This window comes from Homo sapiens, chromosome 3 (genome assembly GCF_000001405.40).
Source record: "Homo sapiens chromosome 3, GRCh38.p14 Primary Assembly".
NCBI classification, from domain to species: Eukaryota; Metazoa; Chordata; class Mammalia; order Primates; family Hominidae; genus Homo; species Homo sapiens.
In genome coordinates, this window is record NC_000003.12 from 13735294 (window position 1) to 13747321 (window position 12028).

Sequence of the window (12028 nt, forward strand, 5' to 3'; positions counted from 1 at the left end):
TTCCTCTAATATTTTTTCAAGGTTCTTAGCTTCCTTGCATTGGGTAGAACATGCTCCTTTAGTTTGGAGGAGTTTGTTATTACCCACCTTCTGAAGCCTACTTCTGTCAATTCGTCAAACTCATTCTCCATCCAGTTTTGTTCCATTGCTGGCAAGGAGTTGTGATCCTTTGGAGGAGAAGAGGCATTCTGGTTTTTGGAATTTTCAGCCTTTTCGTGGTGGTTTCTCCTCATCTTTGTGGATTTATCTACCTTTGGTCTTTGATGTTGGTGACCTTTGGGTGGGGTCTCTGAGTGGACATCCTTTTTGTTGATATTGATGCTGTTCCTTTCTGTTTGTTAGTTTTCCTTCTAACAGTCAGGCCCCTCTGCTGCAAGTCTGCTGGAGTTTTCTGGAGGTCCACTCCAGACCTTGTTTGCCTGGGTATCACCAGCCGAGGCTGCAGAACAGCAAAGATTGCTGCCTGTTCCTTCCTTTGGAAGCTTTGTCCCAGGGAGGCACCCACCAGATGCCAGCTGGAGCTCTTCTGTATAAGGTGTGTGTTGGTCCCTGCTGGGAGACATGGGGGTCAGGGATGCACTTGAGGAGGCAGTCTGACCCTTAGCAGAGCTTGAATGCTGTGCTGGGAGATCTGCTGCTTTCTTCAGAGCTGTCCGGCAGGGATGTTTAAGTCTGCTGAAGCTGCACCCACAGGTGTCGTTTCCCCCAGGTGCTCTGTCTCAGGGACATGGGGGTTTTATCTGACTGGGGCTGCTGACTTTTTTTCAGAGATGCCCTGCACAGAGAGGAGGAATCTAGAGAGGCAGTCTGGCTACAGCAGCTTTGCTGAGCTGTGGAGGGCTCTGCCCATTTGGAACCTCCCAGCGGCTTTGTTTACACTGTGAGGGTAAAACCACCTACTCAAGCCTCAGTAATGGTGGATGCCCCTCCTCACACCAAGCTCAAGCATCCCAGGTCGACCTCAGACTGCTGTGCTGGCAGTGAGAATTTCAAGCTAGTGGATCTTAGCTTGCTGGGCTCTGTAGGGGTGGGATCTGCTGAGCTAGACCACTTGGCTCCCTGGCTTCAGCCCCCTTTCCAGGGGAGTGAACGGTTCTGTCTCACTGGTGTTCCAGGCACCACTGGGGTATGAAAAAAAAAAAAAAAACTCTTGCAGCTAGCTTGGTGTCTGCCCAAATGGCTGCCCAGTTTTGTGCTTGAAACCCAGGGCCCTGGTGGTGTAGGCACCGGAGCGAATCTCCTGGTCTGAGGGTTATGAAGACCGTGGGAAAAGCATAGTATCTGGGCCAGAGTGCCCTGTTCCTCATGGTACAGTCCTTTACCACTTCCCTTGGCTAGAGGAGGAAGTTCCCTGAACCCTTGGTGCTTCCCTGGTGAGGTGATACCCCAACCTGCTTCGGCTTGCCCTCCATGGGCTGTACCCACTGTCTAACCAGTTCCAATGAGATGAACCAGGTAACTCAGTTGGAAATGGAGAAATCACCCACCTTCTGCGTTGATCTCACTGGGAGATGCAGACCGGAGCTGGTCCTATTCAGCTGTCTTGCCAGCAGAAATCTCCTGTCTACTTCAAATTATTAATACTGGTAAAATATAAACTCTTTGTTCCAGCATAGCTCTATTTTCATATCTCTCCTTTGTGCTAATATTTCAAAACCTATTATATTCATATATGTTATAAAGCAAACAATACAGTGTTGCAATTATTGCTTTATGCAATACTATGTATTTTAAAGACGTTAAAGAAATGAGAAATATATATTTATAGTCTTTTATATTAATTAATGTGCAGGTATACCTTGTTTTATTGCACTTTGGAGATACTGTGTTTTTTGACAAATTGGAGGTTAGTGGCAACCCTGTGTTGAGCAAGTCTATTGGCACCATTTTTCCAGCAGCCTGTGTTTACTTCATGTCTCTGTGTCAAATTTTGGTAATTCTCACACTATTTCAAAGTTTTTCATTATTTTATCTGTTATGGTGACTGCAATCAGTGATCTTTGATGTTACTATTGTAATTGTTTTGGAGTGCCACAAACTGTGCTTATATAATACAGTGAATTTAATCGATAAATACGTGTGTTCTGACTGCGCCCCCAACCACCCATTCTGTGTTTCTCTCTCTCTTCTGGCCTCCCTATTCCCTGAGACACAACAATATTAAAGTTACACTAATTAATAACCCTACAATGGCCTGAGAGTGTTCAAGTGAAAGGAAGAGTTGTACATCTTTCTCTTTAAATCAAAAACTAGAAATGATTAAGCTTAGTGAGGAAAGTATGTTGAAAGCCAAGATAAGCCAAAAGCAAGGTCTCTTACACCAGTTAGGCAAGTTGTGAATGCAAAGGAAAACTTCTCGGAGGAAAGTAGAAGTGCTGCTCCAGCAAACATACATGATAAAAAAGTGAAGCAGCCTTACCGCTGATATGGAGAAGGCTTGAGTGGTCTGGATAGAAGATCAAACCAGCCACAACACTTCCTTAAGCCAAAGCTTAATCCAGAGAAAGGCCCTAATGCTCTTCAATTCTATGAAGGCTGAGAGAGGTAAGGAAGCTGAAGAAGGAAAGTTTGAATCTAGCAGGGATTGGCTCACAAGGTTTGAGGAAAGAAACCATCTTCATAGCAGAAGTGCAAGGTGAAGCAGCAAGTGCTGATGTAGAAGCTGCAGCAAGTTATTGAGAAGATCCAGCTATGGTAATTGATAGAGGTAGCTACACTAAACAACAGATTTTCAATGGAGATAAAACATACTTCTACTGGTAGAAAATGCCATCTAGGACTTTCACAGCTAGAGAGAAGTCAATGCCTGGCTTCAAAGCATCAAAGCACAGGCTGACTCTCTTGTGAGAGGCTAATGAAGTTGGTGACTTTAAGTTGAAGCCAGTGTTCACTTACCATTCCAAAAATCCTAGGGCTCTTACTAATTATGTTATTAATTAGGCTAAATTTACTCTGCCTGTGCTCTAGAAATGGAACCACGAAGCCTGGATGACAGCACATTTGTTACAGCATGGCTTACTGAATATTTTAAGCCCACTGTTGAGACCTACTGCTCAGCAAAAAATATTCCTTTCAAAATATTACTGTTTATTGACAATGCACTTGGTTGTTCAAGAGCTCTGATACAGTTGTATAAGTAGATTAATATTGTTTTTATGCCTGCTAATACATCCATTTTGCAGCCCATGGATCAAGAAGTAATTTTGATTTTCAAGTCTTCTTAATTAAGAAATACATTTCATAAAGCTATAGCTGATATAGATAGTGATTCCTCTGATGGATCTGGGCAAAGTAAGTTGAAAACTTTCTGGAAAGAATTCACCATTCTAGATGCCATTAAGAACATTCATGATTCATGGGAGGAGGTCAAAATGTCAACATTAACAGAAGTTTGGAAGAAGCTGATTCCAATCTTGATAGATAGCTTTGAGCGGTTCAAGACTTCAGTAGAGGAAGTCACTGCAGTTGTGGTGGAAACAGCAAGAGAACTAGAATGAGAAGTGGAGCCTGAGGATGTGACTGAACTGCCACAATCCCATAATACAATTTTAACTGATGAGAAGTTGCTTCTTATGGTGGTAAAATAAAGTGGTTTCTTAAAATGGAATCTACTCCATTTGAAGATGCTGTGAACATTGTTGAAATGGCAACAAAGGATTTAGACTAATACATAAACTTGGTTGATTAAGGCAGCAGCGGGGCTTAAAAAGATTAACTCCAATTTTGAAAGAATTTCTACTGTGGGTAAAATGCTATCAAACAGCACCACGTGGTACAGAGAAATCTTTAGTGAAAGAGTCAATCAATGCAGCAAGCTTCACTGTTGTCTTATTTTCAGAAATTGTCACAACCACCCTTCCTTTAGCAACCAACACCCTGATCAGTCAATAGCCATCATATTGAGGTAAGATCCTCCACCAGCAAAAAGATTATGACTTGCTGAAAACTCAGATGGTTTTTTTAAAGCATCTTTTAGCAATAAAAGTATTTTTAAATTAAGGTATGTACATTTGTAGACATAATGCTATTGCACACTTAATAGACTACGGTATAAAGGTATAATTAAACATAACTTTTATATGCACTGGAAAACCAAAAAGTTTGTGTGATTTCCTTTATTGTGATATTTGCTTTATTGCAGTGGTCTGGAATTAAACCTGCAATATCTTTTATGTATGCCTTTATTTACCGTTTCTGGTGTTTTTCATTTCTTTCTGCAGATTTTAGTAACTCTCTGAAGTCATTTCTTTTTAGTTTGGTAGACTTCTTAGAGAACTTCTTCTAAGGTAAGCCAGTCAGCAATAGATTCTGTCAGTTTTTGTTTTTCTGGGAATGTTTTTATTTTGCATTAATGTTTGGAGGATAGTTTTTTTGGGTACAGTAATTTTGGTTGATGGTCTTTTCCTGTCATCACTTGGAATGTGGTATCGCACTGCCTTATGGTGTCTATTGTTTCTAGTGAGAAGTCAGGAAAATTAATTTTACTCTTGCTCCCCTATACATGAGTCTATTTTCTCTTGCTGCTGTTAAGATTTTCACTTTCTCCTTAGCTTTCAACAGTTTTACTGTGGTGTACCTATGTGCATATGTCTTTGTATATTTTCAGCTTGGGGTTTGTTGAGCTTCTTGGATGTGTAATTAAAAATGTTTAAATTAAATTTAGGAAGTTTTGGCCAATATATTAATATATTAAAAAATTCTTTCTGCCTCTTTCTCTCTCTCTGTGTATTTTTGGGACTCCCTTTATGCATATATTTGTGTGCTTCATATTGTCTGACAGGTCTCTGGGGCTCTCTTTATGATTTTCAGTCTCTTTAACTCTTAGTTTTTCAGATTGAATAATTTCTACTGATCTTTCTTCAAGTTTAAGAATTATTTCTTCTATCTCAAATATGCTGTTGAACCCTTCTAATGATGTTTTTTCATTTCAGTTATCTCACAAGAGTGCAATAAGCTACCCAGACATAGGAAATCAGGCTTAAGAGTAAAAACAAGAATAAAAAACTGGACAGAGACATCAGAAGGCACACTGTGTAAGGGAGACAGATATCACACTTTTAACCAGGCAAGTTACTAAATAAACAGCTCCAGAATTTCATTTTGGTTCTTTTTTTATAACTCATATCTCCTAATCAGTGATCTCTTTTTGTTGATTTGTTGTGGTTATACTTTCCTTTAGTTCTTTAAATATGGTTTCTTTAGTTATTTGAACATATAGTGTATTTGAAGTATTTTTCTGCTAAGTCGAACATCCAGGAACCATCAGCAATAGTTTCTAGTGAGAGTCTTTTTCCTGAGTATGGGTCACATTTTACTGTTTCTTTTCATGTCTCATAGTTTTGTTGAAAATTAGACATTTTAGATAAAATATTGTAGTAACTCTGGATTCTGATTTGTTCACTCTGACAGTTGTTGACACTCTGTTTGTCTGCTTGTTTATTTAGTAAATTGCCTAGTTAAAAGTGTGAAATCTGTCTCCCTTACACAGTGTGGCCGCTGATGTCTCTGTCCAGTTTTTTATTCTTGTTTTTACTCTTAAGCCTGATTTCCTAGGGGTCATCCCTGTGTCTGGGTAGCTTAAAATGATCGTGCAGAGGTTGCGCTCACACACTTTGAGCCAGTATGGCTTTTGTCTTCTGCTGATGTATGTGTGTGGGGGAAAGAGTGCATTCAAAGTTCAGGATGTTTTCAAGTCTGCTGTGGTTTTCACTTTCTTCTGGGCACTGTCATGTCTCTTAGACAACTGTGCATAGACTCAGGGTTGGCCAACATGTGTGCATAGCCTTCTCCATTCTTTATTTCACACATGCTGCTGGGACTCTCTTTGCCCCAGTCACAACGACAACTCAGAATAGTAGAGCTATTGGCCCGCCTGTTTCCCCATTCTGAGATTATCACTTTCACCAAGTAGCCATCACACACTGCTCCACATTGAATGAGCCACCTTTAACCATGGCAGCCTCATTTCTGGTTCTCATACCCTAGAGAACCCTCTGTGTCAACTGGATGGGGGGATTGGGAACAGCCCTAGGCACTATAGTCACAGTCTTACCCTGTTACTAGTTGAATATCAGTAAGTTTTCAAGCATGACAGCTCTCAAATGGCTGTATGTATATGGCCCGTGTTCAGCATGCCTAAATGGTTGGTCTGTCGGTTTTATCCAGCTCTTCGAGCAGAGTGTTTGCTCACATCCTCACACAACCATAGCTGGAAGTCTTATGCATTCCCACCACAGCATATTATTTTTATTACTACCCTTCATTTAAAAAATTGAACTGATGAAATTACATCTGAAATTATTTCCTTTTTGCCTGAAGAAAACCTATTAGTGTTTCCTTTATTCATGTCTGCTAGTGACAATTCTGTAATTTAAAATGTATCCGAACTTGCCTTTATTCATCTTTGTTCTTGAAAGATATTTTCTCTGGTTATAAAGTTCTTGGGTTGGTAGTTATTTTCTTTGGCACATTGGTATTATCATTCTATTGTCCTCTGTCTTTTGTATTTCTTGTGGAAAAGCTAGCACTCATTCTAATTGTTACTTTTTAAAGGTAATTTTTGGGTACTTCTGCCTGTTTTTAAGACTTTCTCTTAGTCTTCAGTTTTCGGCAGTTTTATTTTGAAATATTTGTGTAGGCTTTGAAAAATTGTGCTTGGGATTTGTTGGAATTTTTGAATCTATAGATGGATTTTTTTCATCACCTTTGGACAATTCTCAGCCATTTTATCATCATTTATTGCCCCTCTATCTCATAGCTTCTACTGGATTCCAATGAAATGTATTTAGACCTTTTACTGTGTTCTCTCTGTCTTTTATTCCCTCATTTGTTTTCCTCTCACAGTTTTATCTCATTGTGCTTCATTTAAGACATTTTCTTTTTAATCTATCATCTAACTTAATTCTCTCTTTAGCTGTGTCTAATCCACTGTTAACCCATCCATTGTGTTTTTTAATTTCAGTGTTTATATTTTGAAATTGGGGAATTTATTTATATTTAGCTCAAATCTGCCATTCATTTTTTAAAATATAGTTTTCAATTCTCTGCTGAAATTATCAATCTTTTCTGTTGTCTCCTGGGACTTATAAACATAGTAATTGTAAAGACTTTTCCTGATCATCTCAATATCCAGAACCTCTGTGTGTCTATTTCTATCGTCTGTTGACTGCTGGTTTCATTCATGTTGTCTTGTCTCTTCATTTGCTTAGATATGTTTAGCTATTTGGTAGATATTTTATATGCTAAATTGTTTGCCAAAATAACTCGAGGCCTAGGATTGTAGGTATTCTCTTTCAGAGAATATTTGTGTTTGCTTCTACCGGTATCCTAGTGGACACTAGAATTTGGCATCACCTCAATGCAGTTTCACAGATTGAGAGCTTCTGGGTGTCCAGATGACTGGAAGCTGGACTCGCCAACTTCCTGTTCACTTCTGCGCATCAGATCTTTGTTAATGCAATCCACATATACAGTTTGCTTTTTGAACTGGTACCTCCCATGGGCCAGTTAGTATGAGTTAAGGTGAGGCAGGGGCAGCACCAGGGGTGGGAGACCATAGGACAGAGCCAACACCAGCAGACTTGGCAGGGAGGGAACCAAAAGGAGCAGCTTCCAATTTAGTGTGAGAAAGATTCCTCCCCCTGGAGCTGTCCAGGGAGGGTTTCCCAGGTGGGAGGAAGCACTTTACCATGGCAGGTGGGGAGCAGGGTTTGGGTGCTGGAGGAAGTGCAGAGGGGAATTTGGGCATTTAATGCGGTATGAGAGACAGGGAACTGGATTCCTTTGAAGGCCTATGAGGTTCTATGTCTTCCTGGCAGAAACAATTCCATCTGATTGGTGAGAAGCTCCCCCAGGCTGCCTCTTGAGAGCACAAATGCCATTTGTATCACCTTAGCACTCAACTCATTGCTGTGCGAAACTCATTTCCCATCAAAGGGAAAGGAATTATTTTTAATTTTAATTTTAGATTTAGGGGGTACATGTGCAGGTTTGTTATATATTACATGATGCTGAGGTTTGGGCTTCTATTGATCCCTTCACTCAGATAGTGAACACTGTACCCAATAGGAAGTTTTTCAGCCCTTGCCCTCTCCCTCCTCCTTTTGGAGTCCCTGCTGTCTACTATTGTCATCTTTTTGCCCATGTGTTCCCAGTGTTTAGCTCCCACTTACGAGTGAGAATGTATTATATTTGGTTTTCTATTTCTGTGTTAATTCACTTAGGATAATGGCCTCCAGCTGCATCCATGTTGCTGCAAAGGCCAGGATTTTATTCCTTTTTATGGCTGTGTTGTATTCCATGGTGTATATGTACCACATTTCTTTATTCATTCCACCGTTGATGGGCACCTGGGTTGATTCCATGCCTTTACTATTGTGAATAGTGCTATGATAAACATACCAGTGTAAGTGTCATTTTGGTAGAACAAGTTATTTTCCTTTGTGTATATGCCTAGTCATGGGATTGCTGGGTCTAATGGTAGTTCTATTTTCAGTTCTTTGAGAAACTTCCAAACTGCTTTCCATAGGGGCTGAACTAATTTACATTCCCACTAACAGTGCACAAGCATTCAGGAAGGTAATCTTTTTTTAAATGAGGCGCAGGACAAGCATCCTGGTTGTTTCCCTCAAGGCCAGCTACCCCATTGCCCATCTTGCCAGCCCCTCCACCTCCCTGAGCTTGGCTCTAGCCTGTCTTTAATCCTTGCACAGCTGGGCTTGGTCCAGCCTCAGGGCCTTTGCACCCGCTCTTCTCTTGCCTGGGGTGCTCTTTACCCAGTTCCTCACAGCTCTCGCCTCGAATGTTATCTGCTCCTGACTACCCAGTCTAAGGTGGATCTCCTTCATTCTCCATCACAGCAATGTCTGCTACTTCCTCTTTTTTATTTCTCAAATCCCCATCTGCAATTATTTAAATTACATAAGTATTTGTTTCTGGTTTGCCTCTTCCTTTATAAAAGGAAACCCCACAGGCTCAGTGTATTAGTCTGTTTTCATGCTGCTAATAAAAACATACCTGTGAGACTGGGTCATTTATACAGGAAAGAGGTTTAATGGACTTACAGTTCTGCATGGCTGGGTAGGCCTTACAATCACGGCAGAAGGCAAGGAGGAGCAAGTCATGTCTTACATGGATGGCAGCAGGAAAAGAGAGAGCTTGTGAGGGAAACTCCCCCTTATAGAACCATCAGATCTTGTGAGACTTATTCACTGTCACGAGAACAGCATGGGAATGACCCACTCCCATGATTCAATTACCTCCCACTGGGTCCCTCCTACAACACCTGGGAATTGTGGGAGCTACAATTTGAGATGAGATTTGGGTGGGGACACAGCAAAACCATATCCCTTGGGGACCTGTCTATCCTTCACATTGCACTGGGACTGGTGCAGAGCTAATACCCATGCTAACAAATGCAGAGGGAATGGGTAAGTGAATAAGGGAGGTAGAGAGGGAATGAATAAATGAGTCAGTGATTAGTGCCTGTGATCTTAGAGCACCTTGATGTAAAGCTCCTGGGTGGGGGCAAGAGGAGGGGGCATTTGGGCCTGCCCCCTGCTGAGAACCAGGGATTCACATGTGTGTAAACCCAGGCTGTGTCTAATTGCCCAGAAAGCTTTATTGGTGGCCTATGATGTGCTGGGAGTGAATCAAAACTGACTGAATTTCCTGAAGCTTTGGCAAACACAATAAATAACTCCATTATATACTGTCATTTAATATCCTCTATGATAAAACAGCTCCTCTATGTTAGAAATAAAACAGAGAGGGGGAGAAAGTGCTGGGAGGACCAGCTGCAATTTAAAATCATGTACATATCTCCCCAGGGGTATTACAGAAAAATAAAATATAACACATTGCATGTCATATTCATTCTAATATTACAGACAATACATCCCTTGTTATATTTATATGTTATAACACTGTAATATAGTGTAATACAGTAATATGACATATAATACAATATGTTATATAACATGTAGGTAATTATAATTATATGATATAATAAATTATATGTGATGATGATATAGAATGATATATTGTATTATGTGCTCTATTACTTATATTCATATGGAATTCTGACCTCCTGCAGGCAGGCTCAAGGCTGACTTCCATGGGAACATGGGGAGTGCCTTGGGCCCCCTAAGATTCAGATACCAGGTAGCCTCAGTTCTGGTCCCGTGACCATCACTGCATGTCTCCAAGACTCAGCTGCTCACCACAAAGGTTGTGGGGATGATTACATGAAAAGGGATGAGGGAATTATCCTTAATAAGCACCTACTGGGTGCCAGTTAATTTTCACACCCAGCAGAATGAGTCTTCCAACATTGCAGGCTGACATTCCTTTTAACTTATTATGATTATTATTGACATTAAGAAACAGCTGAGAATTGGAGGGCCCAGCATAATCATTATACAGACGCGAACTCTCCCGCACCTCTGCCCCAGCAGCAGCCGTTGTTGTCCCATTCTGCTGCTCTCATTTCATCCCAAAGTCCTTAGTTGTGTGTGTGTGTGTGTGTGCACGCGCGTGCGTGCGCCTAGGGGGAGGGGCTGGAATGTTTTTAAGGAAATCCTGGACTTTACAGATAAGGATTTAAAAAAAAAAAGTAACCACAAAACTCTCATGGCATCCAAAAAAATTGACAATAATTCCTTGCTATCTTCTAGCTTAGTCCATGTTCAGCCACCCATGGTCCTCTCAAGGGTGTTTTTTCACACTCAATTTATTCAAATCAGGATCCCCGTAAGATCCACATAGTGCTTTTGGTTGATAAGTCTCTTAAGTGTCCCTTATAACATGTGCTCCTCCTGCTTTTCATTTCCATGCCATTTATTTCTTAAACAAGCAGGGTCAAAGTGTGTCCTATGGACATGCTTTGGAAATGAATGAATGAATGGTGGAGTGAGTGAATGCATGACGGCTCACACTCATTTCTCTTTGCAGGAAAAGTGGGCAAGTTTTGAGTTCAACGTGAGGCCTCAAGGATGTGTGCAACCCATGGTACTTGAATTTACTTATTGACTGTTTTTTGGAAATCCTTATTTCCCAAAACTCGTGGAAGGAGCTGACTTCTGGCAGGAAACGTGGAACTGGCAGCGTGTCGTGCAAGCATCTGCAATCCCAGTCCTGAGCTGGACTTCTCAGAGAGGCTGGGCATTATTTATGGAGATGTCGGAGTGACAGGGGGAACTTCTGGCCAGGAACTGCCGGTGGTGTCACATCCTTAACCTGGCTGACATCGGAACACCCTGGGGGGAGCATTTCTCCAGGAAAGGATGGTGGGTCAGGAGCCCGCATGGTGTCTTTTCAAAGCAATAATAAAGATATCAGAAGGGCAATCTGTCAGGCACAGACACTACTGGGCCTTGCTGAAGCTGGGCAGATGGTGCAGAGGAGAAGAACAGGGCTGGGAACCAGATGTTTCATTTCCTGAAAATAGACATGTCAGGTCTTCGGGGCTGTCAGATGCCCCCTCATTAGCCCATCAGCCTAAATGGAGCCATTGAGCACTGACATCTCACTCAGCTGTGGCACCTGGCAGAGGACCCAGGCCCAGAGCTGTCCAGCCTGGGGCCCTGGCCTGGGGTCTGAAAAGGCCGGTAAGGGGCAGCTACAGTGGACAGTCCTTTCCCCTCTACAGATGAGGAAACTGAGGCCAAGAGAGGGGACGGTGCTTCAAAGAGTGGCAGCGATTCAATGGCAGAGATGGAATGGACCAGGTTTCAGCTCAGGGGTTCATAGAATTTCAGTGCTCAGAGTCTTTGGGAACCCATACGAGAGGGCTTCTGGTTGGTTCAGATGCTCCTGAGTTGTTCTGGAGCTGCCCTGCCCCTTCCTATTTTTGCCATATCCTCGGGAGACTTGTCTTTGGGCTCATCTTACTTCAAGCACACTCACGTTTTTCCACTTAAGCAAATGGAAACTTGATAAACTGCCTTCAACAACAACAACCCCAAACCCAGCATCACACACCATGCATGCAAGGCAGTGTGTGATGAACACACTGAACAATGAACCCAGT

The 12028-nt window shown here is 41.7% G+C and overlaps 1 long non-coding RNA gene across 1 annotated transcript in view; it reads left to right on the top strand.

Moving 5' to 3' along the window:
• The window catches only part of LINC00620 (long intergenic non-protein coding RNA 620), a 95915-nt gene extending 84573 nt beyond the window's left edge, over positions 1-11342 (top strand). The window contains exons 5-6 of the long non-coding RNA NR_027103.1: positions 343-535; positions 10951-11342. This is a non-coding gene — a long non-coding RNA (long intergenic non-protein coding RNA 620). The remainder of the gene's footprint in view (positions 1-342; positions 536-10950) is intronic.
• Positions 11343-12028: the final 686 nt, after the last annotated feature.